The 13,599-nt window shown below is 54.4% G+C and overlaps 1 protein-coding gene across 3 annotated transcripts in view, besides 3 other annotated features; it reads right to left on the bottom strand.

Moving 5' to 3' along the window:
• The window catches only part of NECTIN2 (nectin cell adhesion molecule 2), a 42,927-nt gene that overhangs the window by 6,858 nt on the left and 22,470 nt on the right, over window positions 1–13,599 (bottom strand). The window contains exons 3-6 of one of the 3 annotated variants that reach the window (NM_001042724.2): window positions 10,217–10,513; window positions 8,333–8,450; window positions 7,888–8,036; window positions 2–155 (exon numbers count right to left, since the gene is read on the bottom strand). In NM_001042724.2, coding sequence (NP_001036189.1) covers window positions 2–155; window positions 7,888–8,036; window positions 8,333–8,450; window positions 10,217–10,513 — 718 coding nt within the window. Of the gene's footprint in view, window position 1; window positions 156–3,427; window positions 4,144–7,887; window positions 8,037–8,332; window positions 8,451–10,216; window positions 10,514–13,599 lie in introns of those variants that run through there. The other 2 variants (NM_002856.3, XM_047439169.1) reach the window with 2 other exon arrangements.
• Window positions 931–1,780: an enhancer, noted in NCBI's record as "H3K27ac-H3K4me1 hESC enhancer chr19:45383843-45384692 (GRCh37/hg19 assembly coordinates)". NCBI's record gives its function as "activates a minimal SCP1, AML or CMV promoter by ChIP-STARR-seq in primed H9 embryonic stem cells {active_cell/tissue: H9 hESC(primed)}" and the evidence as "EXISTENCE:reporter gene assay evidence [ECO:0000049][PMID:30033119]".
• Window positions 1,781–2,630: an enhancer, noted in NCBI's record as "H3K27ac-H3K4me1 hESC enhancer chr19:45382993-45383842 (GRCh37/hg19 assembly coordinates)". NCBI's record gives its function as "activates a minimal SCP1, AML or CMV promoter by ChIP-STARR-seq in naive H9 embryonic stem cells {active_cell/tissue: H9 hESC(naive)}" and the evidence as "EXISTENCE:reporter gene assay evidence [ECO:0000049][PMID:30033119]".
• Window positions 2,631–3,480: an enhancer, noted in NCBI's record as "H3K27ac-H3K4me1 hESC enhancer chr19:45382143-45382992 (GRCh37/hg19 assembly coordinates)". NCBI's record gives its function as "activates a minimal SCP1, AML or CMV promoter by ChIP-STARR-seq in naive H9 embryonic stem cells {active_cell/tissue: H9 hESC(naive)}" and the evidence as "EXISTENCE:reporter gene assay evidence [ECO:0000049][PMID:30033119]".

Here is a 13,599-nt window from a genome sequence, read left to right as displayed (position 1 = left end):
CTCTTCGTCCTCCTCTGCCCCCTGCAGCGTCTGCTCCTTCCGCTGCTGCCGGCAGATAAGGATGCCCGTGGCAGCCACAGCAGTAGCAATGATGGCGGCGATGATGCCCCCGATGATGCCGCCTGTGGCCCCTGCGCCTGCTGTGTTGGGGGTCTCTGCAAGGAGAGGGACAGCGTGAGGGGGTCTCCAGGAGGAAGCCACAGCTCCTTATTCCAAGCGACCATCCCACCCCACATCATCGCCTGCCTGTCTATGTCCTCTCCCATGGGCAGGGGACATTCTTTCATTCAACTCAAACTGCTGAGCATGAGGAAGGAGCGAGGATGTGTGCCCCGCATGGGAGATGAGTGGAGAACAAAACATACAAAGTGTCTACCTTCATGGAACTTTGATTCTGGTTGGGCAGGGAGAACAACAGTAAGCAAACCAGTACAATAGCTCACATGCCAGATGGGAGTAAGTCACGGGGGATACAAAAATATACAGTGCGGAAGTGATAGGAGGTGCAAAGTGGGGTCCCCGAAGGTAGTGGGAGGGCCTCTACCTTACTGTAAGGTGACAACTGAGCAAGGGCCTGAAAGAGACACCGGGGATGAGTCATGAGAGTGTCTGGGGGTATCGCAGGCAGCGCAAACAGCCAGCGGCCCTGCAGGAGGCTTGTGGGGCTCTATGGTTTTTTTTGAGACGGTCTCGCTTTGTCACCCAGGCTAGAGTGCAGTGGCATGATCACCACCAACTGTAGCCCCAATCTCCTGGGCTCAAGCGATCCTCCCACCTCACCCTCCGGAGTGGCTGGAACTACAGGCATGTGCCGCCAGGCCCAGCTTTTTTTTTTTTTTTTTGAATTTTTTTGTAGAGATGGGGTTTTGCCATGTTGCCCAGGCTGGTCTTGAACTCCTGGGCTCAAGTGATCCTCCCGCCTCGGCCTCCCAACGTTCTGGGATTATGCCGTGCTCGGCCTGCCTTGTATTGTTTTTAAAGAACAGCAAGTAGACTGTGTAGCTGGGGCAGAATGAGGCGGGGCAGAGTGGGAAGATGAGAGGAGAGGAGACAGGACCAGGGGCGGCTAGAAGACAGAGAATGCGGGGACAGAATTCTGGGATCCAGAATCACCTCTGGGGACTAGAATCTCCTTCCACTTATCAGGAAGGGGGTTAGGGCTTGGGGCAGTGACTGACGCCTGTAATCCCAGCGCTTTGGGAGGGCGAGGCGGGCGGATTGTTCAAGACCAGCCAGGGCAACGAGCACAAGACCTCATCTCTAGAAAAAATTTTAAAAATTAGCCGGGGGCTAGCCGGGCGCGTTGGCTCACGCCTGTAATCCCAGCACTTTGGGAGGCCGAGGCAGGTGGATTACCTGAGGTTGGGAGTTTGAGACCAGCCTGACCAACATGGAGAAACCCTGTCTCTACTAAAAATACAAAATGTTAGCTGGGCATGCTAGCGCGCGCCTGTAATCCCAGCTACTCAGGAGGCTGAGGCAGGAGAATTGCTTGAACCTGGGAAGCGGAGGTTGCCGTGAGCCAAGATCGCGCCATTGCACTCCAGCCTGGATAAGAGTGAAACTCCGTCTTAAAAAAAAAAAAAAAAAATTAGCCAGGGGCCAGGCACAGTGACTCACACCTGTCATCCCAGCACTTTTGGAGGCTGAAGTGGGAGGATCGATCGCTTGAGCCCAGGAGTTTGAGCCCAATCTGGGTAATATAGGGAGACCACCCCACTTCTTAAAAAAAAAAAGGCTGGGTGCGTTACTCAAGAGGCTGAGACAGGAGAATTGCTTGAACTTGGGAGGTGGAGGGTGCAGTGAGCCGAGATCGTACCACTGCACTCCAGCCTGGGTAACAGAGCTAGACACCGTCTCAAAAAAAAAAAAAAAAAAAAAAAAAAAAAAGGCAAGACAGGAAAAGGGGTCGAGAAGCGAGAAGCCTGTTTGCTCCTGGGCCTCTCCTTCCTTGCTAGCACCTCCCGTTTCCATTTCTCAAGTCTTTCCTAATGGAAGAGTTTTTGGAGTGGTTACCCGTTTACTTGCCAATTTCCATACTAGACTGTGTGCCTGAGGTTCGGCACACAGTAGGTGTTTGCTGGGTGTGTAAGGAGGACTCAGCATGGCACTGAAGGATCCACTGTGTGCCAGGCGGACCCAATTCCCCGCCCCTGCCCTCCGGTTGTCCGGGTGGGGTGGGTGGGTGAGTACAGACAACAAACAACCAGAGGAAGTAACAAGTATGGAAGGGCCCGTGGGGGTCACGCATGCATCGGCCTCACTCTCCAGATGAGGAGGAAGCTTCCAGAGGACGCTGGACTGTTGGATCTCCACTGCTCCCGTTCCACAGCCTGGCATCCTCTGGAGGGCTTCAGAGGGTGGGGGAGTGAGAGAGAGAGACTGCCCCTCGGTCCACACACACACCTTCATCCTAAACATACTGCTGCTATTCTTGTGGTCATTATGGCCGTGCACACCGGAGGACGGCACTGGGTCTGTGCAGGCCACAGCTGCAGCCCCAGCACTGCCTGGCACAGGGCTTGGTGGGGTCTGTGGAGGTCAATGAGGCTGCATGAGGGCATCACGGGCATGTCCTTACTGGGTCCCACGACAGCCTTGTGAGGCCGATGGAAACACCTGCCCCGTGTTACAGAGGAGGCATGGAGGCTTGGGAGAGCAGAGGTGACGCGGGTAAAAACCTGTCCCTTACTGAGCCTGGGAGTTCAAGGACCAAGGGCCGCCCCTCCCCCCGTCTTTGCTTTTCCAGTTGAGAGGAGCTGGAGGGAGCTGCCGCCACTCCCAGGGAGCCACTGAAAAGTCCCCTGGGGTGATCCCTGGGGGCAAGGATGGAGAAGGAGGGGAGCCACAGTCGGGGTGGCCAGAGGTGGGACTTCCCCAGCACCCCCCGCCTGCCCCATGCCCTCAGGGCCCCTAAGAATGGGAGTGGGGAGCAGCCCTCCCCTCCCGAGACCCCCAGCAACCTGGGGGAGTTGAGGTCTGAGGCTCCACTGGATCACAGCCCTCTGGCCTCATTCTCTCAGGACGCAGGGAACCTGGCTGAGCCCCTGCTGTCCCCACCCCCACCTCCACCCGAGGGCCCAGGAGTCCAGAGAACTCCTGCCTCTGATGGGTCTGGCCACACCATCCAGAAAGGCAGCCTCTGTCCTGGGACCCAGGAGTCCAAATGTCCAGGCCTCTGAGTCCCCAATCCAGTGACCTGAATCCTAGTTGCACGAGCCTTGCGGTTCTCGGCCATCCAATGCGTCTTTCAAGGATCCAAGTGGTCCGAGCCCCACAGCCTTCCCCAGTCTAACCCCTGCCAGGCTCTCGTTCCCCGGGGGCGTGGATCAGCTCTTCCCAGCCCTGGGACCTAGGAGTCCCTGTCCCACCCTCTCTTTCCCCAACATGCAAGGAGGGGGTCTGATGTATTACAAGACACCCCTGATGTTTTCCTCCAAGGCATTTATTAACTCCTGAGTGTCACGGGGCCAGGGGAAGGCTGGAGCCAAAACCAAGTCTCTGGGGGCGGGGGTCCTCTCTGGATCCCCACTACTCAGCTCCCCGGGCTCCCCATGCAGCCCTAGAGACGGGAGAAGTCCAGTGTGCTGTTCCACCTCCCTCCAAGTCCCAAGAAAGTGGGAGGCAGTGTTCCACTCCAGTGTCGTCCAGACGAACAAGTCCAACCAGTCTGGAACCCTAGGCCGGCGTGGTCAGGTCGGGGGCGGGAGGGCCGGGCCTGGCTCTGTCTCTGTCTGTGTCCAGGTCACACATAAACTGCCCGCCGTGAGATGAGGGAGCCGTCCAGCTGGGACTCCATGTCATCCTCGAGTGCTGGGGGTGGAGGCAACATGAGGCCTTTCTCTGCCTTCTCTTCCTCCTCCTCCTCCTCCTCATCCTTGCCATCTGGTTCCATGGGACCAGGGACTACTGGTGTCCAGAAGACGGGGTCCCCATTTCCCAACACCTGAGCTTTCGGATCGTAGAATCCCCCGTCGCCACTGGCTCCTCCTCCTGCTCCTCCAGGGCTCTTCCTCCTCCTCCTCACCCTCAGCAGGATGAAGGCCAAGGACCCCCCAGCCAGAAGCAGCAGCACCAGCAGTGTCCCCCCCACGGCCCCCCACACCAGCGGGCCCACATCTCGGGGCGAGGCCCTGGGGGTTTCTGAGGAGAGAGAGAAGGAGGGGTGAGAGAGAGAGAAAGGGAGACACAAGATCACGAGGATCGCTCTGGGGAGTGAGGGGGTGGGGGAGATGCAGGATAGGCGGGGATGGAGGGAGCGGGAGTGACCAGAATGAGGGGGTGACTCTGGGCAGAAGAATGGAGGAGGAGGAGGAGGGGGGTGGGGAAGCAGAAGCCCCTCCGCCCTTCGCTACAGCCTGAGCACCACTTTGTACAAGGAGGGGGATGCCAACCGGTGGTCCCCAGGTGTTAGTGTTTTGCAAAATTTAAATTGCTAGCCAACCTTTCAAAAATCAGGCGATTTCACTTAAAAATCCAGGTTTCTCTTAGGGGGACAAATCAGATCTAGCAACACCAAACTCCCATGTCTGGCGATCGCCGTAGCCGAGTGGAAGCTGGCTATTTGGATGCAATAGATCTGGCCGCCCGGTCACTGGCCAGGACCCTGGTGCCATCTGACTTCGCAGCCCTCCCTGAATGTGCTGTGGGGTCCTCACAAAGCTATGAGCTTGGGGGCCACACCCCCTCGGGGGAGGACAGCTGGGTTTCAGTGGGAGGCTGTCTGATCCCAAAGCTCTCTGCAGAGGGCCACAGATTCCTGATAATTCTGCCCTCTTGAGTGGCTGGGAGCATTTATTCCAAGTGCCGTGGCTGCCTCATCTCTAGGCCACTTATCCCCAGTGTGTAAAATGGGGTTCTCACAGACCGGGACAGTGGGACTTCCTTAGTGCTCCCTGCAGGGGCTGAGCAGGTGGGGATGGGGGATGGGAGGTAGTGGGGAGGCGGAGAGAGAGAGGAAGCCATGAAGTGCTGAGGAGGGCAGTGTGAGCAGGGAGGGATGGGGCTCCTGGGCCCCAAGCCAGGGACAGAAGTCAATGTAACCAGAACCTACCCACATCCACTTCCCCCATCCCTGCATGCAAGGCATAACTGGGACAGACGGGGGTGGGGGGTTCACCCACACCTGACCCCACCTCTACACCTCGACACACAGGAGGGGCTGAGACCCAGGAAGGACATCTGTTTCTGTTGTTTTCAAACAGGGGGTCATGACCCAGCGGGCTGTCAAATCAGCTTAGTGACTCACAAATAGCATTAAAAAAAGGAGGATAAAATCTTTTTTGGTAGGGGGTAGGGTGGTATATATGTCTCTAACTATACACTGGGTTGAGGAGTGAAACAGATTTTTCTCCTGTGCTGGTCACTAACTGGACCAGGTTGAGCCTATCTTGGGAGGCTTGTCTCTGTTTCTGGAGGTGGCATTGGTGTTTTGGAACTCGAAGCTGAGTCTGTTCATATGTCTAGGGTTCAAAGCTCTGAATCAGGCTTAGTGTGCTGGCTCATACCTGTAATCCCAGCACTTTGGGAGGCCAAAGCTGGAGGAATGCTTTGAGGCCAGGAGTTCAAGACCAGCCTGGCCAACATAGCGAGACCCTGTCTCTATTAAAAATAAAAAGTTCTCTGAGTCTCCCTAAAGATAGATCTGTCCTGTGGTGCGGCGTTCGTATCCTATGTTCGTGCTGCTGTGGACTCCATACTGTGTCTCTGTGACGACTCTGTGTGTGCCTGGATGTGGGTTCGTGGCTCAGAGACCCTCTGAGAGTGACCCCAGGAGCTTTGAGTGTGTCTCCTCTGGCTGTGGCTGTCGGGGCACTCACTGCTTGAGACGGGATTTCTAGAGTGCTTGGAGCATGCACGTTTCTGCAGGCATTATCTGAAGGCACGTGTCTTTGTAATGGTGTTATTGGCTGGGGGTGGCCCTGTGGCCACTGTCGTGGGTAGGTGGGGGTGTCTTTCCACAGCGCTGAGTCTTTCTCTATTGCGTCTGTGTTCTGCAGGCTCTGACCTTGGAGCCACCTGCTGGGTGTGTGGGCAGGGGATCAGCTTGTCAGGTGTATCTGGGGTAGAGGTTAGGGGTGTATTTCCAGTTCGGTGTCTGTCTGGGCGGGTGGAGCTGACCCTCCCCTGGGTGTGCTACTGAGGGCAGGGACTGTGGCTCATTCACCATTGTATTCCCAACCTCAGCAAGAGTGCCTAGCAAACAGGAAACACATATTTGTTGAATGAGAATCTCCCTAACGGACTTTCTGGATAATTTCGGAGGAGTTTCGGGGAGTTTCGGGAGGGTTCCTGGGAAGAAGCTCCTCCCAGGATGTCTTTGATTTTCCGTCTGAGGGTCTGTGAGTGAGGGATGACATTCCTCCGTGTGCAGCCGTTGCTGTCCTGGATTAGTTTTGCCCCCAGCGTGTCTGTGTGACGTCTTCCTCCGGGGACTTATGTGCATCCTCACGCGCCAGGCGAGCCCAGAGCGGGACAGCTGTCTCTCTGGGTTTGCTGTCTGTGACAGTGTTTCCCGTAGGGGTGTCCTATCTCCCTGGCTGTATCTGGATTCCTGAAGAGGTGTCTGTTTTCCCTCGGGTGTCCCTGCAAGTGTGTGTGCATTCTAAGATTATGACTCAGTAAGGGGGTCTGCTTCTGTCCCTCCGTGGCTAGTCTGTCTGCATGACAGGGACAGCCCCTGTCTGGGAGTTTGTCCCTACACCTTCAGTCATGTTTCTGGGGGGCCTGCACATTGCGTGTTTGCACAGGTGTGCTGCATGGACCGTCGCCCTGGCGTGTTTCTAAGAATGTCTTTTTCTGGCCAGGCGCAGTGGCTCATGCATATAATCCCAGCACTTCGTGAGGCCGAGGCGGGTGGATCACCTGAGGTCAGCAGTTCGAGACCAGCCTGACCAATATGGTGAAACCCTGTCTCTACTAAAAATACAAAACTTAGCCGGGTTTGGTGGTGAGCGCATATAGTCCCAGCTACTCAGGAGGCTGAGGCAGGATAATTGCTTGAACCCGGGAGGCGGAGGTTGCGGTGAGCTGAGATTGCGCCACTACACTTCAGCCTGGGCGACAGAGCGAGACTCCATCTCAAAAAAAAAAAAAAAGAATGTCCCTTTCCAGGTGTCATCTGGCTTCGTTCAGTCTATCTTGGCTGGTGCCACTGTCCTCCTGGGTGTGTGTCTTGGTGACAATGGGTTTGAGCGTGCAGGGTTACCATCCAGGTGAGTGTCTGGATTCTGATGCATCTCTGCAACAGAATTTCTCAGCACAGGGAGTGTCTGTGGCTGTGGATCCTGCCAGCTGTGGCTCTGACAGGAGGGGTCTCTGGCCCTATCTCCAGGACCCAGGGGTCTCTCTGTCCCAGGAAGCATGGCTCTGTTAACAGTCCCGGCCGCGCTCTAGGTGTGTGGCCCTGCAGTTGTGAGTTTGACCCAGTTTCCATCACTGGGTGATGGTCTGGCTTTGTGCTTTTCCTCTTTGGCTCCGTGCCTTGGGGCCGGATTGTGTTTCTGGGGGTGGGAGCTCTTGGTTTCTGTCTCTTTGAAGTTTGCATGCCTGACTCTAGGTGTGCGTCTTTCTCAGGAGCTGGAGCCCAGGGCAGCTTCCTCGGGTCTATTCGTGAGGACCCTACCCAGGCCTCTACTTTCTAGGAACCCCGAGCAAAGTCCTCAACCCCCCAACTCTGCTGCCTTCACCTACCCCGACACCCCAAATCCAGACCCCAGTCTGAGGCCACGAGGGGAAGGCCAACCCTCATCTCCCCTCAGCCAGGCAGGTCTGCATCCCTCCCAGGTCGGCGGCGCAGCCTCCCCCAGTGCAGCCCCAAGTCCTGAAGGGCAGAACTCCAGGGGAGCGGACCCAGGTCTCCACACACGGCCCCCAAGACCCACTCACCTCGGACAAAGATGACCTGCTCAGCGCGGCCCATGCCCACGGCATTGGTGACTGTGCAGACGAAGGTGGTATTGAACAGACTGTCCACTGCGTGGATGACCAGCTGGGAGCCCTGGGCCACTGCGGAGGTCGGGAAGGTGCCTGAGGTCCTGGAGGGGTGTGGGGTCAGGTGAGAGGGATACCAAGGTCGAGAGGGGAGCACAGGCCTCATCCCTAAAGATACACCCACCAGGAGCCAAGCTCCAGGGACCTAAGTACTCCCGGAGACCCCAAATTGCCAAAATGCAAGCTCCCTTCATCCTGGAGGACTTAGGAATTTAGGCCCAGCCCCTCCTCCCTCAGATCCAGGAGTCCAGGCCCCCAGCCCCTCCTCCCTTAGATCCAGGAGTCCAGGCCCCCAGCCCCGCCTCCCTCAGACCCAGGGTTCTGAGACCACGTGACTCACGTGCTCCAGTCATAGCCCGTGGGCTCTGGGTTGCTGCGGACGTCACAGCTCAGGGTGGCATCAGTACGGCCGAGGTACCAGTTGTCATCATAGCCGGAGATGGACACTTCAGGAGGGTCTGGGGGAAATGGGGGGACTGGATCAGCAAGGAGGAGAATCCCAGAGCGGGTGGACAAGTTAGCAGATAGACAGGAATGCTAAAGAAACGGGGCGGGTTGGCAGGAGGTACAGCAGTCAAAACTGTCTGGGGCAAATCAGTCCAGGCTGTTGTGTGCTGATGTCAGTGTAGACACTGTTCAGGGAAACCACTGTGGATAATTTTGTGGGAGTTATTGTTCAGTGCTGGCAGTGCCTAAGGGAGCCACTACAAATAATGTGTGTGTGTGTGTGTGTGTGTTTTTGAGACAGGATCTTGCTCTGTTGCCCAGGATGGAGAGCAGTGGGGTGATCCTGGTTTACTGCAAACTCCACGTCCTGGGCTCAAGCCATCCCTCCGCCTCAGCCTCCCAAATGGCTGGGATTACAGGCATGTACCACCACGTCCAGCTAATTTTGGTATTTTTAGTACAGACAGGGTTTCACCATGTTGCCCAGGCTAGTCCCGAACTCCTGACCTCAAGTGATCTGCCCGCCTTGGCCTCCCAAAGTGCTGGGATTGCAGGTGTGAGCCACCGCACCCGGCCTGTGTGTGTGTTTTTGGCATGGAGGGAGGATGTCAAAACAGGGTTTGGGCAACCAGTGTAGGTCCCGGGAGGAAAGTGGCACAGACGAGGCTCAGGGGAGCTGTTGCACTTATGGGCGCACGTGATGCATGTTGCCTGGGGGAGCTGGTGTAGACTTGGCTTAGGGAATCTGTGTAAGTGGAGGCATTGCCTGGGGAGCTAGTGTAGACAACATTGAGTTGGGATATGTGGTCATTTTGGACAGTGGTGGAAGAGGTGGTTAAGCCAGTATTTGAGGGATTCTGTGTGAAGAGTGCCAGGGTGGCCTCTCTGGGTAACATTACGAGGTGTGAGTATAGGCAGTTTCTGGAAGAGCTAGCAAAAAACCCAGTGGGAGGGGTCAGGATCAACAGGGCCCGGGGGGTGGAGCCTGTAATGTAATATATAATATAATGTAATTATATTATATTAAATAACAATAATAAATAATGACAAAATATATGTTAATATATAATATATAATTTATATATTTTATATAATATATAATATATAAAAATATAATAATAAATAATAAATAATAAATACAATGTAAATAATATCAAGGATCAGGGGTCGGTGTAGAGACTCTGGGAGACTCAGTATAGATGGCACCTAGGGAAGTCAAGGCAGAAGTATGGGAAGGTGTGGAGACGATGTTAGGTTGGGCAGTGTAGACATGTAGACATGTGGACATGGCCCAGCATGATTGATCTAACGGTCCAGGGGCAGTGTCAACCGGGGTCCATGGGAGCCAGAAAAGACACTGTTGGGGGCAGCTCTTTGCTGGTAAACCAACTCTCTGGGGAATAAAAGAAGCCCCCATTTCTAGGGTTTGCCAATTTCCTTGGTGTAAATATTCCCCAAGGTTGATTTCAAGCTACCGAGAAGACTTCATTGGATGTGGAATTGGAAAGAAATGTATCAAACTGGCTCTTGCAAGCCCATCCCAGGTTACCACAGACTAGGCACAGCATGCAGGAACCCAGTAAAGCCAATGTAGACAATGAGGGGGAAGTATGTAGATTTGCCCATGGGAGCCAGTGTAGACAATGGCAGGAAGGTAGTGCAGAATTTGGCTTCAGGGAACCCACGTAGACAACATTCAGAGACAATGTAGACAGTGCTTTAGAGAAGCCAGTGTAGGCAGTTTTGATGGGGGAGGGGTCACCCCCGATACACTCACAGCGTACAGAGAGGGTCACAGGTATCAGGGCTGGTTCCTCGAAGCTCTCATGCTCCACTTTGCAGGTGACCGTGACACCATCTGCTCGGCCCGAGGGCACCAAGGTGAAGCGGCTGGTGACAGTGACAGTTCCGGCCAGGGTCCCTGACACCTGAGTCTCTTTGGCTTCCCAGTCCAGGGATGAGAGCCAGGAGATCCGGGCAGGTGGGCGGCCCTCTTTGGAGATGCAGAGGGCCACTGTCGTAGGGTCCTGGCTGAACGTGACCTTCTGGGCCTCAGCTTGGTTCTTGGGCTTGGCTGGGGAGAGGAGGAGAGGGGGTGCGTCACTCCTCACCGGCAGTCATTCAACAAACACTCAGCAGAGGAGCAGGGTGGTTAGGCCCTAACTGCCGGGGTTCCAATCCCAGCTCTGCTGCTTATCAGCGGCCTGGCTTGGGATAAGTGGTTTTGCAACTCTGTAGCTGTTTCTTGTTTTGTAAAATGGGGATAATGAAAGTACCCACCCCTAGGATTGCTGTGTGAATTAAATAATACATTGATAGGTAAATGGCTTAGGGTAATGTCTGGCCTGCACTGCCCTATCCAAGTGTTGCCCATTTTATTTTACTTTATTTATTTTTTAGAGACAGGGGCCCGCTCTGTCACCTGGTCTCGAGTGCAGTGGTGTGATCATAGCTTGCTGCAGCCTGCACCTCCTAGGCTCAAGTGATCCTCCCGCCTTGGCCTCCAGAGTAGCTAGGACCATAGGCATGCACCACCATGCCCGGCTAATTTTTAAATTTTTTTGTAGAGATGAGTTCTTGCTATGTTGCCCAGGCTGATCTCAAACTCCTGAGCACAAGCCATCTTCCCACCTCGGCTCCCCAAAGCTCTGAGGTTACAGGCGCCTGGCCTGGCCATTTCGGTATACTGTCTCTTCGCCCTGCCAGAGATGCAGAGACAGGGTCCAAAAGCCTAGAGGAGGCTGAGATTTAAAAAAAAGCTGGTCGGGCGTGGTGGTTCACACCTGCAATACCAGCACTTTAGGAGGCTGAGGAGGGTGGATCACTTGAGGCCAGGAATTTGAGACCAGTCTGGCCAACATGGTGAAAACTCATCTCTACTGAAAATACAAAAATTAGGATGGGCGCAGTGGCTCATGCCTGTAATCCCAGCACTTTGGGAGGCCCAGGTGGGCAGATCACCTGAGGTCAGGAGTTCTAGACTAGCGTGGCCAACGTGGTGAAACCCCATCTCTACTAAAAATGCAAAAATTAGCTGGGCGTGGTGGCAGGTGCCTGTAATCCCAGGTACTCGGGAGGCTGAGGTAAGAGAATTGCTTGAACCTGGGAGGCAGAGGTTGTAGTGAGCCGAGATCGTGCCACTGCACTCCAGCCTGGGTGACAGTGAGACTCTGTCTCCAAAAGAAAAAAAAAAAAAAGGAAAAAAAAAAAGCAAATCAAGGCCGAGCGAGTAACTGAGTACTGTGGTTCAAAGGTCCAGCTGGAAAGGCCCCCTGTTCCTTTTCCTGTAATCACCATTAGATGATTGAATGACTGGAAGTGTGATAAAGGCAGAAAATCTCAAAGCCGTTTCTTTTTTTTATACCCTTTCCACCTCATTCTCTTGGAAAACATGGAAAAAAATCACAAAAACAAAACTCCAGGAAGAATAGCAGCTCATGCTTATGATGTGTGTCCCCCACCCAGACTCACATCTTCTGTTGCTTTCTGGACCTGGGTATCCACCTCTGAACTTCTCAACACGGTCTGACTCTCCTCTTCTTCCCAGCTCTCCCTTCCCACCGCCTTCTCCCCTGACCATCGTGGAGCATCCAACAAGCCTCCCCACATCCTCCTGGCCGCCCTCCAAGCTGTTAGAATAGTGACTCAGGGCCCGAGCCCACCACTTCCCCATGGCCACCTCCCCTGGCCACTCCACATGCTCCCCATCCACGCCCTCCTCAGTCTCTGCCTCCACCCACTTTGGGGTTTTGGTTGGTGATTTTGTGCCTGGATTGCTTTGGCCTCCTTCTCCAGACCCCACTCCAAGCCCCACTTCGTCAAGGGCACTTTCCTGACCGCCGACTCTGGCCAACTATTCCTTGGTGGCTCACGCATCATGAAGACAGAGGCTTTGGCTGTTTTGTTCCTTACTTCTGCACCAGTGTGTATACGGAAGCTCTTGAGGTTATCTCTCTCTCTCTCTTTTTTTTTTATTAATTTGAGACAGAGTCTTGCTGTCACCCAGGATGCAGTGCAGTGGTGCAATCTCAGCTTACTGCAACCTGCCCTTGCTGGTTTCAGCAATTCGCCTGCCTTAGCCTCCTGAGTAGCTGGGATTACAGGTGTGCGCCACCATTCCTAGCTAATTTTTATTTGTAGTTTTGGAGACCCTCTCTCCAAGAAACAAACAAACAAACAAAAGCTCACTTGCAAGAGCTGCTTGCCTTGGCCCCTGCTTGAAGTGTATATTCAGGGCAACTTCAATCTATGCTCCCAGGTGGTCATCCTCAAGCTTTGGGCTTGATTAAACCCTACACTTAATCATATTTTCTTTTCTTTTTTTTTTTTTTTTTGAGATGGAGTCTCGCTCTGTCGCCCAGGCTGGAGTGCAGTGATGCGATCTCGGCTCACTGCAAGCTCCGCCTCCTGGGTTCATGCCATTCTCCTGCCTCAGCCTCCCAAGTAGCTGGGACTACAGGCACCCGCCACCACGCCCGGCTAATTTTTTTGTATTTTTAGTAGAGACAGGGTTTCACCGTGTTAGCCAGGATGGTCTCAATCTCCTGACCTCGTGATCCGCCTGCCTCGGCCTCCCAAAGTGCTGGGATTACAGGCGTGAGCCACTGCGCCTGGCCCTTAATCATATTTTCTGAGTCTCATTATTTATTTATTTATTTTGAGACAGAGTTTTGCTCTTGTTGCCTCTCAGCCTCCCAAAGTGCTGGGATTACAGGTGTGAGCCACCGTGCCCAGCCCTGAAGTTATCTCTGGATGAGAACAAATGATTGCACAAGAAGAGAGGCGTTTGTGAGGGTGGGGAGGAGAAGAGCTGTCCTTTGTATTATGGAAAACGGCTGTGGTTTCATGTGTTACTGGAAAGGGAAGTGTTTACTCAAGGATAGCACAGGGTGACCTTCTCAGACGCTCTGGGCTGAGAAGGGGGAAGAAAAGGCATCCAGAGTGACGTGGCTTCTGGGAAGTTGCCTAGGGAAGGTGGGCTCCCAGGGGACTTCCAACATATTTTTTTTTTTTTCCAGACAGAGTCTCACTCTGTCGCCCAGGCTGGAGTATAGTGGCGCGATCTCGGCTCACTGCAAGCTCCGCCTCCCGGGTTCAAGCCATTCTCCTGCCTCAATCTCCCGAGTAGCTGGGACTAAGGCACCCGCCACCACGCCTGGC

This window comes from Homo sapiens, chromosome 19, assembly GCF_000001405.40.
Source record: "Homo sapiens chromosome 19, GRCh38.p14 Primary Assembly".
NCBI classification, from domain to species: domain Eukaryota; kingdom Metazoa; phylum Chordata; class Mammalia; order Primates; family Hominidae; genus Homo; species Homo sapiens.
The sequence above is the reverse complement of the archived record's forward strand: the minus strand, read 5'-3'. Positions and strand labels throughout refer to the sequence as shown.